Source organism: Homo sapiens, chromosome 17 (genome assembly GCF_000001405.40).
Source record: "Homo sapiens chromosome 17, GRCh38.p14 Primary Assembly".
Taxonomy (NCBI): Eukaryota; Metazoa; Chordata; class Mammalia; order Primates; family Hominidae; genus Homo; species Homo sapiens.
This window is the reverse complement of record NC_000017.11, coordinates 9,131,159-9,150,633: the sequence shown is the minus strand read 5'-3', so window position 1 is coordinate 9,150,633 and position 19,475 is coordinate 9,131,159. Positions and strand designations below refer to the sequence as shown.

General features: G+C 51.5%; 1 protein-coding gene across 3 annotated transcripts in view, besides 1 other annotated feature; it reads right to left on the bottom strand.

The window, feature by feature from the left end:
* Positions 1-19,475, bottom strand: part of NTN1 (netrin 1) — a 240,914-nt gene that overhangs the window by 93,367 nt on the left and 128,072 nt on the right. The gene's annotated exons all lie outside the window — the stretch shown is intronic.
* Positions 11,664-12,372: an enhancer, noted in NCBI's record as "H3K4me1 hESC enhancer chr17:9041579-9042287 (GRCh37/hg19 assembly coordinates)". NCBI's record gives its function as "activates a minimal SCP1, AML or CMV promoter by ChIP-STARR-seq in naive and primed H9 embryonic stem cells {active_cell/tissue: H9 hESC(naive and primed)}" and the evidence as "EXISTENCE:reporter gene assay evidence [ECO:0000049][PMID:30033119]".

Below are 19,475 nucleotides of genomic sequence, written 5' to 3'. Positions count from 1 at the left end.
CCGCCTGCCCGGCGGGCGGGCCCCTCTCTTGGAGGAAATGCCGAGCAGGCTTTGGTAAGCCCTGAGCAGTCATCAGTTCTTTGTCTGCTGCGTTCCTCAGATCCTCCGTCCACGTTCCAGTCCGGAGCCTCTGCCCCAGGCAGAGGGTGAGTGCTCTCTCTGCCACCTCCTTCGGGGACTTTAGCCCTGGCCCTCTATGTGCCATGCACAACTCTACGCCTTCTCCACCTCCAACCAGCCCGCCACCCCAAATCCCTCTTCAGACATTCCTCTCATTTGTCACTGCCCTGTTCTGGAACCTTCCATGGCTGCCCACTGTCTATGAGATGCAAACTTTCTTGCCTTTCAGGACAAAAACAGTTTCACAGTGGGGGTCCAGAGACTGGAGGTCTTGCTCCTTCCTTCCTTATTTATTTATTATGTATTTTTTGAGATGGGGTTTCACTCTTGTCACCCAGGCTGGAGGGCAGTGGCGTGATCTTGGCTCACTGCAACCTCTGCCTCCTGGGTTCAAGTGGTTCTCCTGCCTCAGCCTCCCAAGTAGCTGAGGATTACAGGCGCCCGCCACCATGCTGAGCTAATTTTTGTATTTTTAGTAGAGATGGAGTTTCGCCATGTTGGCCAGGGTGGTCTCAAACTCCTGACCTCAAATGATGCACCCTCCTCGACCTCCCAAAGTGCTGGGATTGCAGGTGTGCGCCACCATGCCTGGCTAATTTTTGCATTTTTAGTAGAGATGGGGTTTCACCATGTTGGTCAGGCTGGTCTCGAACTCCTACCTCAAGTGATCCACCCTCCTCAGCCTCCCAAAGTGCTGGGATTACAGGTGCTCACCACAGTGCCTTGCCCTGCTCCTTCCTTATAATAAGACCCTGCATGAAACCTCACCCCATCCCACCCAGTCCTCTCCAAGCTCCAGATCTATCAGCAAAAGAAGGAAGGGGGACATTGTTCTAAGGACAAACCCAGGGTCTTGGGGCTGGTGCAGCCTTCCAGGGTTTCCTAGTTTACCCTCTTGTAGAAGAAGAGATGAGAAGAACAAGGTCCCAAGAAGCAAAGAGATGTTGCCAGGGACCTGGCAATAGTGAATGGTGACTAACACTTCACCAAACTAATTCAGAGCTCTTTCCAGACCCCCAGCAGCATGGTGAGGGTGACATGGTCTCAGGCAGAAAGAAGCCTGATAAAACCCTGTGGCTGCTGGAATTCATTCCTGAAGGCAGAGAATTTTCAAACTGGAAGAGATTGTCTGAGCAAAGTTCTCCCGGAAGCTTTTGTTGCCATGAAATTCTCTTTGCTCTGTGACTTGCCCGCCCTGCCCAGATGTCTGGTTAGCAGCTCGGGGGGTGGCAGCAGGGTGTGTGTGGGGGTGTGGGGGGGGTTCCTTCCAATCTCTTTTCCCTAGAGGTGGTGCATACACTCCCTGTGCTTTATGAAATGGACATATGAGGGCTGATTTGCCAGCCAAGCCGGCCAAGCCTGGCTCCTGGCTCCCTGGAGTCATTTCCCATCTGTAATGGCTCCCGTCACTAAGCCAGGCACTTGCCAGGCTGGAGATTCAAGGCGGGACTCCAGGGCAGTGGGAGAGGCTGGTGCAAGGGAGGCTTAATGACTTGCAGTTGATTCTGTTCTCCAGACACCAGGCAGGAAAACATGCAATTCCCAGGACACCTTCCCCAGCCCTTTGTTCCCCTCTACCCCCATGGGCTGTATCCCTCCCTGCTTGACCTTTATTTAATTCATCTCTTTAGTTAACTTTGACTTGGGTTGTAAACTCCAGAGACCAGCCCAGACTGCAGCCAAAACTACTGCAGGGTTCAATACTGCACACCAGACCCCCGTGTGACCAACAGATCAAGATTCCTGCTCGTGGACAGGGACAGGGTGAAACCAGGGTCCCAATCTGCACGCTGGACCCCCGTGTGCCCAACAGAAACCAGTGTCCCATTGGGCCACTCCAGGACAACACCAAAACGCCTTCTCAGTTTCCTAATTCACTCTCCGACTAGACTCGGGTTGCCAGGTTTAGCAAATAAAAATACAGAACACCCAGTTAAATTTGAATGGCACAAATCATTTTTAGTAAAAGTATGCCCCAAGACTGGCATGTCAGTGCTACCTCCAGGACACACCAGATCCCTACCCAGCTTGGGCTGTGCCTAAGATGTACGATTTCACGCAACGGTTTTTTTTATCAACAGCCACTTTAATTTCCTCAGTCTCCACAAGTCCCAGAAGAGGTTAAAAGGGCCCCTCAACTCAACAGGTCTAGGAGAGAAGAGTCCTGTTTGGGTTTTTCTTAACTCAAAGGGTTGTCTGCTTCTTCAGTTCCTATTTGCTTAGCACCAGCTTGTCGTTCCCTTATTTCCCTCTCTCAATCTGCTGAACAAGAATAGATACCTGTGCCCAGGAGCACGTGGAGATTTGTGAGAAGGGAAAAGACCCTGCCCATTGGATGACCCAAAAACTGCTTTCCAGTTGCAGGGCACTGTCTGCAGGGCCGTCAATGCCAAACAGACAGACCACGCCCCTCTGCCCCTACCCAGCCCCTCAAGAGGCCCTGTCACTAGTTAGCATGCCCCCACTTCACATGCAAAGATCCCCATGTGGAACCAATCACACTCCAGTTCCAGGAGACACAAGGGGGAGGAAGGCAAGTATGGCCAGAGTGGCCCCAAATCTGTACCCAAACAAAGCCATTTTCATCATGATATGCTTTGTGGTGAAAATGATCAAAATCTGAACCCCAATTCTGAATCCAGTTATTTTAATCAAACCACTAGGTACAATTCATTTAGAGCTCAGTAAAGTGTCTATGAGATTTAATGAAAGATTTTAGGTGGCCTACCATCAAACAGAGGATAAGACAGGGGATGGCAGATTCCAGCTGGCCAAAGGAGCTAGAATGGGCCACCCCTGGGGGACAGTGACTTTGCCATCCCTGGAGACCTTCAAGTAGAAAAATACGGTACAGGAGACTCCGGCTCTGGGGAGGAGGTGGAACTAGACTGATCGAGACCCTTCCAACTCAGAGAGCCTTAGAAGACACATTTCCTGCCTCTGGGATGTCAGATCCTTACAGGTTTGAGGTTAGCATTGGCCTTGCTAATATTCTTTTTTGAGACGGAGTCTCTCTCTGTCGCCCAGGCTGGAGTGCAGTGGCTCGATCTCAGCTCACTGCAAGCTCTGCCCACAGGTTCATGCCATTCTCCTACCTCAGCCTCCCTAGTAGCTGGGACTACAGGTGCCCGCCACTATGCCCGGCTAATTTATTCATTTATTTTGTATTTTTAGTAGAGACGGGGTTTCACCGTGTTAGCCAGGATGGTCTCGATCTCCTGACCTCGTGATCTGCCCACCTCGGCCTCCCAAATGGCCTTGTTAATATTCTTACACGTGAGCTAATGGAAGGGATTTCCAGTCTGCAAATGACCCTGAGTCCTTACGGGGAGGGACTGCGCAGCAGAGCTTCCCTGTGGGCAAATGCGGGAAGAATCCAAATTGTCCTTCTGCAATGATGTCCTGAGTTATCTAGTACAGCCAGGGAAAACAGCCTGGGGAAAGCCACAAGCTCTTCCTCATGGAGAGATGGTGGCTCCATAGCTGAACATCCTCTGAACAGGCCTTTGGGGGTTCAAAAGCTTTAGGGCAGACTGATCTTCCACAGAGAGGTAGCAAGGCAGCTGTCTATGGCCAGCATCTCAACACCGATGCCGGGGTATTACCCAGAAGCACCAGCTACTGAGTATTTTGGACATCTCCTCCACATATGGGGACAGTAAGCAACCCCAGTGCCTCGCTGGCTCTGAAACTCCCAGGCAAGAATCCAACAAGGGACTGACCAGGAAAGGAGAGTCCTGCGGCGAGTTAGCCCCTCACTTTCCTCCTCCAAATTGTTTTGAGAGCCAATAGCACGGGCCAAATCCCTAGCTCACTAGCAATCAGAGACATTGTCCCGCCTCACTCTGTCTCAGCACCCAGAGGGCATGGCTGCCAGGAGCCCCAGGGTGTGTCTAAAGACCCCCAGGGTGTGTCTAAAGACCCACAGGTCCCCTCCAGCCCTGCTAACCAGCAGAAGGCGATGGGAGGTAGGAGTGCATTGGCTGCTTGTTTCAGGACTGAGGACCAAGGTATGCATAAGCAAGGTGGTCCCCTCCTTGAGGACTCACCCCCAAAATGGGCAGGAAGTCTGTGCCCAGAAGGAGTGAGGGGCCTCTGGGAGCTCTAAGAAAGAAAATGCAGAGAACAATGAGATGAGCTCAGGGCAGGAGGTGGGAGCTGAGGGCAGCCTTCAAAGCTGGGGCAGTTCACACCTGCCACTTCCACTCAGCCACCGTAACAGTGACACATGACTCACGTGGAGCAGTCTCTGTGCACCAGGCACCCCTGGGTCATTATGCTTCAAGCCTCCTCATGAGCCCTGGATCCTAGTGTCCCCTCCCTGCACCTTACTCAGCTGTTTGCCTCCTGTCTCTGTCCATACATGCCTGCACCACTGCTGAAGGTACGGCAGGAAGAGAACTGAGGAATGTGCTTGAAAGGGCACAAGGGCCTCGCAGGGGTCTCCCAAACCCTAGACAGCTCAAGCTGCCCAACTTGTGACTTCAGAAACAGTCTCCTTATCTTCTTCCAGCCCGCAGAGGCTTGGATGGAAAATGAATACAAACACATCTGTTCTTCTAAATACCCCACACTTTTTTTTTTTTTTTTTTTTTTTGAGATGGAGTCTTGCTCTGTCGCCCAGGCTGGAGTGCAGTGGCCGATCTCAGCTCACTGCAACCCCTGCCTCCTGGGTTCAAGTGATTCTTCTGGCTCAGCCTCCCAAGTAGCTGGGACTACAGGTGCCTGCCACCACGCCCGGCTAATTTTTTGTATTTTCAGTAGAGACAGGGTTTTGCCATGTTGGCCACGCTGGTCTCAAACTCCTGGCCTCAGGTGATCCACCCACCTCGGCCTCCCAAAGTGCTGGGATTACAGGTGTGAGCCACCGTGCCTGGCCAACACCCCATACTTTACAACTTTACTTTGATCCAATTAAAGGAAGCCAGAAAATAATGTCGAGACCCTGGCTGGACTCACACAGCTCACAGGAGTGACAGGGACTGGACGCCTGGCCCACTCTGCTCAGAAGCCTGGCCCTTTCTTCTCCCCCAGCTGCAAATGGGGTGGTAGGGGGTTAGTCCTCCCCAGACCTCCACCCTGTGACTCAGTTGGTTTTGTGACCAGAATAGATCTATTTAAGATACACACTGGGCCCGGTGGCGTTGTTTTATGACATTAGTTCCCCTCAGGTAGTCTTTGAAAATGTTTTTTCTTACCCTAAAATTAGGGGGCTTGGGAACAAGACAGGTTCCTAGTACAAGTCAGGGTTGGAGGGAACCCACATGTGAACGCCCCACATTTCTTGGCCCTGGTGCTCCTGGCTGCTGTGGATGTGGCTAATTCCCCAGGAGTCCTCTGTAATTCCACAGTAATGTGGATTTAATTGTCCCCAAAGCAGGCCATTCTTCCTTTATTGTGCAGTAAATTTCCCTCCAGAGTTCGGATTTCATGCGCCTGCCTCAGCTGGGGAGCCGGCCAGCCTCGGGGGGTGGCGCACTGTCCTCGCCACTGGCCCCCGCCGCTCCACCTTCTGGCCCTCCCTGGACCTGGAGCTGGAGATAGCTGTGGGGTACAGACCACAGACCGGTGTGTCTGCCTCCTCAAGTGTGCCTCTCCAGGGGGTCCTGGGGTCCCTCCCACCCTCGAGGAGGCAGGGACACTGGTCTGTGGTTCTGTCTGGAAGGCAAATTAACTTGACAAATGCAAACAGGCTGAAACAGCGGGATTCATTAGGCAGAAGCTGGACCGCATTTCCTCCATGTGCTCGCTTGTTTCGTCAGCAAACCCCACTGAGGCTGGGAGGCCGGGGAGCGAGGTGCTAAGAGGGGGCCTGTTCCAGCCTTCCATCCACCTATGCGGCCTGCGCCAGTCACCTGATCTCTCCTTGTCCACTTTGCTATTCAGTGAAAGAAGAGTAATTACAAGCACCCTCTTATCAGATGAGATAAGGCCCATAAAACACTCAGCCCAGGGCCCACACCCTCTGGGAGCCTAAGCCTCAACTTCAGTACAACTTGGAGGTGACAAAGGGGAGTCAAGAGCCGATGCAGGAGTTCAAATCCTGTGTGTCTCAGGCTAGCACTGTGCACTTGACCTTGGGTGTGTTTGATCACCTCTATGCCTCAGTTTCCTTATCTAGGAATGAGGACAGTAATGGTGCCCAGCTGTCAACAGTGGCTGACCCAGGGGAACAGTAGTTGATGTTACGATGATCACTCCTGACAGCAGGTCCAGGCAGCTATGGGAGACCTACTAGATGCTGGACACATGGCTCTACAGGAGGGTTTGTGCACTGGATGAGTTCATTATGGGGAGATCGATATAAAAGACGGTAACGGCCGGGCGCAGTGGCTCATGTCTGTAATCCTAGAACTTTAGGAGGCCGAGATGGGTGGATCACCTGAGGTCAGGAGTTCTAGATCAGCCTGGCCAACATGGTGAAACCCTGTCTCTACTAAAAATACAATAATTAGCCGGACATGGTGGTGCGTGCCTGTAATTCTAGCTACTCAGGAGGCTGAGGCAGGAGAATCGCTTGAACCCAGGAGGTGGACTTGCAGTGGGCCGAGATTGTGCCATTGCACTCCAGCCTGGGCAACAAGAGCGAAATTCCATCTCAAAAAAAAAAAAAAAGCAGGTAAAGGTGTATTTAGGATTCCATGTCAGGGGAACATCACAAACAGGGTGACCCAGGGAGACCCTTGGCCTCTGCAGACCTCAGTCCCTTAGGAAGTAAAGCTAGCTCATCGCAAAGGGACCTCCCAGTTAAGACAGACTGTTCCAGCATTGGCGTGACATGGTTTTGCTCATACCCACCATTTTAAGAGATTCTCATTGTGACAACCTCTCCTTTCCAGAACGGAGACCATCTAGAACACAGTCAAGAACAACATAGAAAGAAAGACACCTCTCTGAGCAGCCAAAACAGTTGTCACCAGGAGAGTCCCATCCCTAGATCGTCTTTACTCTCCATTTACATGGAATTCAGGAGAGAGAGCCACAGTTTGACCATGAGGTAGAAGACAGAGCAGGCAATGTAAAAACCAAAAGGGCACAGCAAAGTGAGGATGCTGGAGAAGGGGCAGGCTGCCTGGCCTGCCTCAATATTCCCCTGTTGCAGGCAAATAAAACGGCTGAGATAGCAAAATGCACCCCCGTGAGCTCCCAGGGGATCCCTTTCCCCACCCAGGGCTCAGGCTGGTCCCCCTCTTCCCAGGCTCATGCCTCCCAGCTTCCTGGCCATGCTTCTGCTTTCTCTCCACTCCTCCCCCTGCTGCCATCCGACAGCATCCAGGCCAAGGCCCCGGGCTCTGGAGTCTGTGGCCCTTTATCGCTACCTTCTTCTCATCCTCTACTCCCGTCCAGACAGACAGCCCTTCTGGACAAAGCCACACAGGGCAGATGGATACTTTCAGAAAACCATGACCACCAGTCTCCCCAGACGGCTGCCCTTCATCCCTCATCACCTCCAGGTCTTAGCCCATTTGTCACTTCCCAGCGAGGCCTGCCCTGACCATGCCACTTAAAATACCAAACCCACACCCTCCTCTGCTTCCCTTTTCTTCACTGCACATTACCTTTTAGAGTGTATGTGTACTTTAAATATTGATTTTATTACGTCATCTAACAGCAGACACGGACTTTACATATTGATTTCATTACATCAACTTATAGCATCTACATACTTTACATACTGATTTTGTTGGTTATATTATAGCACATGCATACTTCATATACTAATTCATCTACTATGCTTCTCTCATCTAGAATGTAAGCTCCATAAGGACAGACTTTTTGGTTGGTTGGTTGGTTCACAGATTAACCCCAGGGCCTAGAGACATGCCTGGCACATAGTACACGGTGATATCTATTAAGTCCATGAATGAATAAATCAGTCCTTGAGATGTGTCACTTTCACCCACCTCCCTATTTCAAGCCTTCCCCGCCCTCTTCAAACCTCCACCCCCCTCCCATCATCTTCCTTCTCCAGGTTCACACTCCACAGGTGTATCCTTACCTCCTATTCTCAAAAGAAAAGGAAGCTGACAGAGAAGAACCTCTGCTACCTGCTGCTGGCTAAGCCTGAGCCTCCTGGTGAAGGCATGGCCAGCAGCAGGTTGCACACCTCTGCTGTGTAAGATGTGCAGGAGGTTGTACATCTTGTCTGGCAGTTCACCTTTCTTCCCCGATCTAGGCCCATTCCCCCAACTGTTTGGTTTTTTTCTTTTTTTTTTTTTCTTTTTGAGATGAAATCTTATTCTATTGTCCAGGCTGGAGTGCAATGGCACGATCTCAACTCACTGCAACCTCCGCCTCCCAGGTTCAAGTGATTCTCCCACCTCAGCCTCTCGAGTAGCTGGGATTACAGGGGCCCGCCACCATGCCCAGCTAATTTTACTTTTTTTGAGATGGAGTCTCGCTCTGTCGCCCAGCCTGGAGTGCAGTGGCACGATCTCGGCTCACTGCAAGCTCCGCCTCCCGGGTTCATGCGATTCTCCTGCCTCAGCCTCCTGAGTAGCTGGGATTACAGGCGCCTGCTAATTTTTTGTATTTTTAGTAGAGACAGGGTTTCACCAAGTTGGCCAGGCTGGTCTCGAACTCCTGAGTACGCCCAGCTAATTTTTGTAGTTTTAGTAGAGACAGGGTTTCACCATGTTGGCCAGGCTGATCTCCAACTCCTGACCTCAAGTGATCCACCCGCCTCAGCTTCCCAAAGTGCTGGGATTACAAGCATGAGCCACTGTGCCCAGCCCCAACTGTGTTTTGGATCCGACTCCCTCTTGCCTCTTCAGGAAACATAAACCGTCACCTTTCCCTTCTCTCTCACACACACAGCCTCTTCCTCTTGTCCCCTTTCATCCCAACTCCTATCCTAGTTAACATGCTCAGACTGCTCCCCTCTCTGCAAGCCCTCCTCCAACCCCACATCTCCCTAGGTACTGTCTCTCCCCAGCTTCCATGGTGCTGCCTCCCACTCACTTTTCCGTCCACTCTGCTGCATCTTCTTTGCCCTGTTATCCCACCAGGACGCCCACGCTAAGGCCACCTAAGTCTGCCATATTGCAAAATCCAACTCATGTTGGATCCACCTCTCTCACTAGGCCCCTCGGCAGGCTTGACGGAGTTCACCGCATCTCTTCCACAGCCCTCTCTTCCTTTGACTTTCCTGGCAGCACATATGCCTGGTTTTCCTCCTCCAGGGCTGCCTCCCTTTCATGCTTGCCCTTCTCCCCCCCCTCATTAAAGCTGGCGTTCTTCCAGCTGCACTTGGGCCTTCTCTCCTCTTACTTCGCTATCTCCCTTGGTAATCTCCCCCAATTCAATGATCTGTCTTCTCGGGGGGAAATGACTCCCAAATATATATCTCTAGTCCCCACATCTTCTTTGAGCTTCTGACGTGTCTATCCAACCGCCCACCCCACATCTCAGATTGCTCAAAAGCACTTCAAACTTAATGGTGTCTAAGATCAAAGCCATGATATTCCCTCCCAAATCCAGTTGTCTTCCAGGAAATGATGCTTTCATCTACCCACACGTGCAAGCTGGAAATCCAGTCACCACTGTCACCGCCCACTCCCCTGACCCCATTACCTAATCAATCCATCACCAAGTGCTCTTACTTTTAATTCTCTCCCAAATCTTGCTACTTCTTTCCCTAGTCCAAGTCACCATCATCTTAGACTGGCACAGGGGTCACAAATGTGGGTTTTCAGCCTGCCTGAGAGCTGGCCGGTGGTAATGAATTCTAGGGAGAGACGACCTTTTCCCTCCTGTGCAGGACAAAGGTCAGAACACACTGGTCTCTTCACTCTCCCCTCCTACATGACAGGTTCATTTCTCACTGGCCCTTACATTGAGAGTGCAGTGCTTTAGGGTTTACATTTTGCGTGGCCAACTCCTGTTGGACTTTTCACTGGGGATGGGGGAAGCCCTGCCTTTACCTCTGGCCTCCTGAGTCCCACAAGCTGTCAAACAGGGGCTCACTGTCATAGGGGTCTGACCCACACCTGCACACACACATCTGGCTCTGGTGCTTGTTCACCTCCATGAACACTGCTTTCACTCTGGGGAACTCAACAAATGCCAGCTCAGAGATGCATTTTTTTATTTCAAGTTTATGTTTTTATTTTTCAACGAGTTCAGCCTGTGCTTTCCTTCTGTTGTTTTCAGAGGCAAAGCACCCGTTCTGCCACAGCACCAGGGCAGGGGGTGCAGAGACTGCACTGCAGGTAACACCATTCTTACTTCAGAGCTCCTGCTCTGCGCCACAGTCCTCACAATGACCTCCACCTTTCCTGGTGGCCCAGAGCACACACAGCTCACACCACCCGACGGTCTTTCAGGAGAACACAGCTCTCCTAGACAATCTAACAAGGAGTGTATGTATGCTGGCTTCAACTCTTCAGAGTGGCCATCACTTATTAAACTGCAGCTAACAACTCATTAGCAGGTCATGAGACCAGTTTAGTGAATCGTGGACAGCATTAAAAAAAAAATAGAAGCAAACTGAAAGTATAAGAGTGGACCACAGAGTAAGGGTTGATTGAACTTTTATTTTGGATAGATGGATGAATGAATGGATGATGGACAGATGGATGGATGGATGATGGATGAATGGATGGATGATGGATGAATGGATGAATGAATAAATGATGGAGGAATCGATGGATAGATGGCTGAATGAATGGATGGATGAACAGATGATGGAAGGATGGATAGGTGTAGATGGATAAGTGAGTAGGTAGGTAGGTAGATGGATGTACTAGATAATAATTCATAATGGTAAATACATTTTTACTGTGAGTCACAGCCCAAAAATGTTTAATGTAAATTGCACTGCATATAGTTATGGTTAGTCCCTGAGGACGAGGGTGATGTCTTCTTTCTCTCCTATTCTCTCACTGAACTTAAAAGCAAGCTTGGCTCACAGGAGGCTCTCAGTAAACACTGAGAGGCATTATATTAACTGAGTTTCTGGAGATGATGAGGAAATCATTGGAAAACTGGAGCCTGAGAGGGCAGCGTGGACTCCTTCTCTTGGAACTGAAGCCTGTGGGTCCCAGCAAGCTCTGTCCCTGGACCATGCCAGGATTCAGTGAAATATGGTTTTGCTTGGTGCATTGCCTCAGAAGGAGCCAATGAAGGTGAGGGAAGGTGCCAGGTATGACTTCCTGTTAGGGTCTCCCTCTGCCCTCATTCTGCCCACTTTACACCCCCATGGCGTCAGGCCTGGCCCTCCGGTACCTGCTCCACAGCGGGTCAACAGGCCTAAAGCACCTCATTTATTGTCTGATCAGAAAGCTGCCCTAGCTCCACAGAGCCTAAAGGACATGTCTCGATTCCTAAGCTCAGCATTCAAGGCCCCCACAACCTTCCCAATCCCCTGACTGGCATCACCCCCATGAGCCCCTCCACGAAAGACTATGCTTGGGCCTTGCCTACTTAGTCCCTGTCCCCCGAAGACCTTTTAGCTAAATCCCCTCCTCCATGGTGTCCAGAGACTTGCCCCAGGATGGCCTTCCCAGCCTCCACCACACGCCACACTGGAAAATGGTCTTAGGTGAAAAGCACATTCAGGGATATCGGAGGGGACTTGAGCCCTGGATGCATCTGCTCACTGCCCCAACCACCCAGCAGCCAGAGTACCAAGGGGACTGGTGACCCTGAGCCACCTTGTGGGAAGGTCAGCCCTAGAGGGGTCCTGACCAACCAAGACTCTCTTCAAGCCCCCATTTTCAGCCCACAGGTCCCAGGTTCACCAATCCCCCACTCCCCAGCCCTGACAGCTCTGCCCCTCCCTGGTACCTAACACAGCTGCCTGGCCTTATCTCCTCCAGTCTTTGACTCCCCTGTCTGCCCCACCCCTGCCTCATCGCGGTACCCGGCACGCGGCTGTCAGCACACCCAATAAGTAGGTGCAGACGGATTGATGGACAAGGAGATGCCAGAGCCCAGCTGGGAATGAGGCTCTGTCTGGCTTCCATCTCCCATCCACGCAGGGCACTTGGTGACAGTGTGCGGAGAGTGGGGGGACAGGTTGAGGTCAGGGAGAGGCAGCGTCTGGGGTCCAGCCACCGAGCCCTGCAGGACACCTACCCCCTGGAAGTAGCACATTGTTGTCCTCCTTCCAAGCCCGCTCCTGCCAGGACACAGCCTGAGAACATCGCAGACACGTGATCTGGCCAGACGGGGCCCCCACCACTTGTCTCTGATGCCCCATTATGAGGTCTATTTGAGCTTCCTAGGCCTGGGGCGGTATCTCACCACTAAAATTTATGCAAATGAAATAATGAGCAATTTGGGGAAAGGAATGAAATGCTGCGCAATGATCCAAACCACCCCAGACACCCGCCCAGGGGGTTTTCAAGTTGAGCAATCATTCTGAAGACAACTTAAAAGTCACTCACTGGAAAAAAGACACGCCGGGGATTCTTGCAAACCAGCAGGCCCTGTGGCTTCAGAGGCCCGCTCTCACCTCATGGTGGGACAGGGAAGGCTGGGCTGGGGAGGGAGGTGGAGCACATCTGGTTGCCCACTGCACTTCAGGACTGGACCAGCGGGATTTTGATAGAGCCCGCCCTGAGCTCACTGCAGGCACGTGGGCCCTGGCCTGGCCATCCCGAAACATCCACCTCATTCCTGAAATCAGGCACAGGGAAAACACCAAGTCCAGCCGGGAAGGCCGGAAATGCCGGAAGTACCCAAGATGCCCGTCAACAGTTTTATTTTTTTTTTTTTGAGATGGAGTCTTGCTCTGTCACCTAGACTGGAGTGCAGTGGCGCGATCTCGGCTCACTGAAACCTCCACCTCCCAGGTTCAAGCGATTCTCCTGCCTCAGCCTCCCAAGTAGCTGGGATTACAGGTGCCTGCCATCACACTCAGCTAATTTTTTGTATTTTTAGTAGAGACAGGGTTTCACCATGTTGGCCAGGCTGGTCTCGAACTCCTGACCTCAGGTGATCCACCCACCTTGGCCTCCCAAAGTGCTGGGATTACAGGCGTGAGCCATTGTGCCAGGCCGCCGGTCAACTCTTACAGGTAGAGACACATGCCCCCCTCCACGGATAGGGCACTCTGTGCTCTGTTCATTGGTTCATTCATTCACGCCACAATCTTCACTGAGTGTCCACCCCATGCCAGTTCTGTTCTAGGTACTGGGGACACCTCAGGAATCAAATATTCGCTCAGCAGACAGTCACTGCCCACCAGCTTCGCATCATTACTGGCATGGGGTGGGGGTGGGAATACAGAACAAACAGGAGACATGGTCGCTAGTCCCCGGGAGTTTGCAGCCTGGTAGGAGTGGGAGACGATGCATGAACAAAACTCAAATTCCAGGCACTGACAACATAGGATGAAATGCAGAGACTATTTCTAAGCCAGCCATCAGAGAGGTCTTCATGGAGGAGGGGTCATTTGAGCCAGGTCTTAAAGCATAGATAGGAGCAGGGTGTGTGGAGGAGGGGAGAAAATGAAATTCCAGGCCAAGAAAATGGCATAGGAAAAATTGAGAACACCACCAGGAATCCTGAGAGAGGAGTCAACTTCTGTATTTTTCTCAACAATCCACACACACCCCTTTTTGTGCGCTGAAGTGATGGGGGCTGACTGTCAAGGCCTTCCCTCTTTCTGCCACGAGGAAGGAGCTGGGCAGGAGTGAGGAAGGAAAGGTCTGAACAGGCTCCGACTGCGAAGAGCCTGAAATTGTGGCAGGAGGAGAGGTGAGGGCTTGACCTCTGGTCCTCTCCACAGTGTGTGTTCCCAGCTTGCAAGGCTAGGGCAGGGAGGAGGAATTCATAAAGACCAATTTCTTCAAAAAAATAATAAAAGGATGAAGCGCACACACACAGAGAAAGTATCATGTTACAATCTGATAAAGCTAGGAGCTGGCACACAGGCGTTTGTTACACTATGCTCTTTTTTCTTTTTTTTCTTTTTTTGTTTGTTTCTTTTTGAGACAGAGTCTTGCTCTGTTGCCCAGGCTGGAGTGCAGTGGTGCAATCTTGGCTCACTGCAGCCTCTGCCTCCCGGGTTCAAGCAATTCTCCTCCCTCAGCCTCCTGAGTAGCTAGGATTACAGGCGCATGCCACTATGCCTGGCTAATTTTTGTATTTGTTTTAGTAGAGACGGGGTTTCACCATGTTGGCCAGGCTGGTCTAGAACTCCTGACCTCAGGTGATCCACCTGCCTTGGCCTCCCAAAATGCTGGGATTACAGGCGTGAGCCACCACACTCAGCCACACTATACTCTTTTCTTAACAGTGTTATTATCGTCTACTCTGAACCACTTCAGAATAAAGTAAAGCTAGGCTCCGTTTGGTTTGGTTTTGTAAAGACTGAGGTGTGCAGGGCAGCATTTGCTCTGCTGCCCCTAGCTGCTGGCCTGTTGCTGGAGCATTTCCTGCCCACTCTTGTCAAGCTGTGACTCAGTTTCCCCTGAGTGGGGACTGACTCTAGGAAGATTCCAGAAAGCAGCCTGAGTCATCGCACCAGGGGGACACGAGGAAATGGGCTTAGAGCTTCCCAGGCGGGAGTGAGGAGGATGGGTGTCGAGTTTGAGTAGGCACGTGCACACATGTATGAGTGAGCGTGCGCACACAGACACGTTTGGGGTGGCAGTGTTCATGCTGCCCTCTGAGTATGGGCTGTGCTCAGTCGACATGTGTGAAGAGGAGCTCAGGGAGTGAATGGTGGACTCAGGGCTAGAACCCTGGTCTCCTAAATGCCCCTTCCAATGCCCTGGAATGCTGGAAGCCAGAACAGATTGCCAGGAAAGGGCTCTAAGGACAAGTGCCCCACCAGGCCTACTCCAGGGAGCCCTAGAACCTCAACCTGGAGATGAGACAACAGCTTAGAAGAAGTAAGAGTCCAGTCTCTACAGAAAAAGCAGAGGCTCCACACACCAGCTGAACCCAACAGTGCTGGGCCATCGTGACAATTCAAGGGGAAGCCAATGGGCTCCAAGAAGCGTGGATCTCAGCCAATCCTCTGCATTCAGAACTTAGGAGAGTCTCATGGTCAAGAGGACTAAGTGGTTGACCCCGACAGTGGCGAATGAACTATTGCTGGGAACAGGAGACAACCCGAGAATAGGGGGAAGGACGTCCAAAGGCTCAGAGGCCAGAGGAAGCCGTGCATGAGAACAACGTTAGTGTGGTCTGGTTGGCAGGATGGCTGCAGGGGAAGCAAGAGCCAGACACAGGTTCAGGACTGTGCAAAGAGGTGTTGGGTCTGGGGGACACATTCAGACCCAGGTGGCAGCTGCTCTCAGACACTTTCCAGCAGAACAGTGACCCTCCTGTAGCCAGTAAAGGGCAGCCCAGACAGGAGATGGGAAGAACTGGCAAGGTGAGCAAAGACAAAGGAATGGGGTAGAGAAGGGAGGATGGGCCGGGAGCATCAGGGGCTGGGGGACAATGTGCCTTACCGGGCCCTCGGTGTGGATGGGGACACCCGTGTCCAGGTACAGCACTCGGAGAATTTGGTCTGGGTATGGGGGTTGGAGGTGTCAGCTGCATGACAATGGGGGTGTCCATTCAGGAGGCAGCACCCCCTGGGTCTGGAACTCAGGGACAGGCCTCCCAAACAAGACTATTGAGTTCTGGAATAAGCTTTCTCACCTTTCTCAGGACCCAGAACCAAAAGCAGGGCAGGAGGAAGACGCTTTATTGAGAAGTCCTGGTAGGTTCATTTCCAGTCTGCAAATACCTAGAAAACAACAGCCATGGAAAGACCCCAGGCCTGAGGCTTAAACTCAGCGGGCTCTGTGATGCACTGACTGTCTCTGCATGTTCACTTCGCACCTAGAAGGGTCCCACAGGGCAATGAGCAGCCAGCATCTGGGCCCTGAACATTTGGAACCCCTGAAAGCTCAGGGCCGCCCAGAGCAGAAAGACTGTCTATTCTCATGGTTCTCTGCCCCGGCTGCATGTTAGACTTACTTGGAAAGCTTTTTAAAAAGTGTGGTCCCCACCCCAGAGACTCTGATTAATTAGTGTGGAGAGAGGCCCTGACGTGAGTAGTTCTGTTAAAGTTCCAGGTGATTCTAATATACAAGGACCATGCTCCCAATCTAGTCAATCCCTGATTTTCCAGTGAGGTCCAGAGAGAGGCAGCTGCAACCCCAGCCGGGCACAGAAACCGGAGGGAGTGCTCTGGGGGGAGAGAGGGTGAGCACCCAGTTATCACTAAGAGGGGTTGGCAAGAAATCAGTCATCTGGGGGAAAGAGGACAGCTGTTATTGGCCCCAGGAACAAAGGGGTCCTGGCAAACATATTCTAAGGGAATCCTGTTTATGAGATGAGTGGGGCTTTTAAACATTCAATGAGGGCCAGGTGTGGTGGCTCATGCCTGTAATCCCAGCACTTTGGGAGGCTGAGGCGGGCAGATCACAAGGTCAGGAGTTCAAGACCAGCCGGCCAACATGGTGAAACCTCGTCTCTACTAAAAATACAAAAAATTAGCTGTGCATAGTGGCAGGTGCCTGTAATCCCAGCTACTTGGGAGGCTGAGGCAGGAGAATTGCTTGAACTCGGGAGGCAGAGGTTGCAGTGAGCTGAGATCACATCACTGCACTTCAGCCCGGGAGACAGAGTGAGACTCTGTCTCAAAAAAAAAAAAAAAAAAAAAAAGGCTAGGCCCAGTGGCTCATGCCTGTAATCTCAGCACTTTGGGAGGCCAAGGCAGGCAAATCACAAGGTTAGGAAATCAAGACCATCCTGGCCAACATGGTGAAACCCTGTCTCTACTAAAATACAAAAAAAAAAAAAAAAAAAATTAGCTGGGCATGGTGGTGCGCACCTGTAATCTCAGCTACTCAAGAGGCTGAGGCAGGAGAATCGCTTGAACCCGGGAGGTGGAGGTTGCAGTGAGCCGAGATTGTGCCACTACACTCCAGCCTGGCGACAGAGCAAGACTCTGTCTCAAAAAAAAAAAAAAAAAAAATTCAATGAGAAGGTCCCTGCACAGAATGGAAGACCACGGCCAACTTGCTTTCCAGCCAGGACAAGAATTAAGCATGCGCCCTGGCTCCCAGCCCTGCATGGTCGTTACAGGTGTAGACACCACCTGCTGAGTAAACCTAAGGCCCCAGCTCAAACACAGCAAGTCGCCTGGGAGCAAGGAGGAGAGATGGCCCTGCTCCTGCTGGGCTGCCCAGATCCTTCCTCGGCAAGCCCTTAGGCGAGCACCTGACCTCCTGGTCTTGGCACAACAGGTCCTGTGAGTGAGAACCACAGCCAAACTACCTCTCCGGAAGCCTGGAGCTGCTTTCCCTGAGGCCTCCAGTAGATTCTTAACAGACCAAGGCGGTGGTGGCATCCGTCAGACTCCCCCAGGAGCAGCTGGCAACATGCAGTGTCAGAGATCCCTGACAGGGAAAGGAGAAGGACTAGATAGTTGCCCAGGCTTAGAAGCTGGCAGGGCTCTCGGTGGCTCGCACTGGGTGAAGGTGTGGTCAGCCGTTAAGGTGGAGGGGAGGAGACCTCATCCCAGGTTGTGAGCGTCTACAGTCCGTGGAAGGTTTTGGCCAGAATGCTTAACCAACAGCATTTCAGATATTCCTGGAGTCAGGCTGGGCCACACTCAGCTCATTTTGACCCTCAGTTAAAGGGAATTTGGTATTATCAGTGTGGACGTGTCATTCTTTTTCTTTTTTGAAACAGAGTTTCTCTCTTGTTGCCCAGGCTAGAGTGCAATGGTGCAATCTGGGCTCACCACAATCTCCACCTCCTGGGTTCAAGTGAATCTCCTGCCTCAGCCTCCTGAGTAACTGGGATTACAGGCATGTGTCACTGCACCTGGCTAATTTTGTGTTTTTAGTTGAGACAGGGTTTCTCCATGTTGGTCAGGCTGGTCTTGAACTCCCAACCTCAGGTGATCCGCCTGCCTCAGCCCCCCAAAGTGGTGGGGTTACAGGCGTGAGCCACTGCGCCTGGCCGGACGTGTCATTCTTTTCCTTGCTGATTTATTAAACATCCAGGACAGCCTCATGCCAGACACAGTGCTAGGATTAAAGGGCACAAAGATGAACAGGGTGTGGCAGCTGCACGTGAAAAGTTCATATTCTAGCAAAGGAGTAGGCATGAGAAAGGGAGTAGGTCCCTGCTAGAGAAGACGGATGTACAAGGTGTGCGCTGGGTAGAAGGTTCAAAGCTAGTGTGAGATGCATAGGAGTTTTCCAGGATGTCAGGAGTGAGGACATTCCTGGCAGGCGGAACAGCAGGAACAAAGGTTTGGAGGTGGAAACGTGTAATGTTCATGAAAGTACATGGCTTGTTAGTGGACAGAGTGACAGGAGAATGAGCCCAGAGTGTGAGTGTGATGGGTAGAGGAGAAGGTGCTCAGGCCACGGCCAGGTGACGAGGGACTGGATGAGTGCTCTGGAGAAACCACCCAGGAATCTAGCCTTTCAGAGGCCAAAGTGACATGGTCTAACTCCTGCGCGGACAGAGTATTGAAACAGAGGCTGAGACCACCAGTCATTCATCAAATGGGCATCAAGGGGCCTGGCTAACACAGTGAAACCCAGTTTCTACCAAAAAAAAAAAAAAATACAAAAAATTAGCCGGGCGTGGTTGCGGGCGCCTGTAGTCCCGGCTATTAGGGAGGTTGAGGCAGAGAATTGCTTGAACCTAGGAGGCAGAGGTTGCAGTGAGTCGAGATCATGCTACTGCACTCCAGCCTGGGCAACAGAGCAAGACTCCGTCTTAAAAATGATAATAATAAAAAAAAGCATCAAGGGCCAGCATGGCGAAACCCTGTCTCTACTAAAAATACAAAAAATTAGCCAGGCGTGGAGGTGCATGCCTGTAATCCCAGTTACTTGGGAGGCTGAGGCAGAAGAATCGCTTGAGCCCAGAAAGCAGAGGTTGCAGTGAGCTAATATCACACCATTGCATAGTAGCCTGGGCAACAGAGCAAGACTTCACCTCAAAAAAAAAAAAAAAAAGCATCAAGGGAATACCATGGCCGAAACACAGACAAACCGAGCACAGCCCAGCCCTCAAGCAGGGCAGAGGCTAGTGGAGGAGAGGCCAAAATGGACCATTTAAGAATAGGATACATAGGATGCACTTCATTCATTCATTCATTCATTCAGCAAATATTTCTCAAAAGCCTATGCGCCAGGCACAGGGGATGTGGCAATGAACAAAACAGACAAAAATCCCTGTTTCTCGTGATTGAAGAGAAACAATGAACACAGCGCATTAGGAGACCATAGAGTATATAAGAGGATGCTAAGTGTCATGAAGAAAAATCAGGCAGGAGGGAGGAAAGGGTATGCTGAGTGTTGGAAAAGGTGTTATGGTTTTCTACAGGGTGATCACGGAGCCCTTGTTGAGTCAATGACATGAAGGTAAAGAACTTAAAG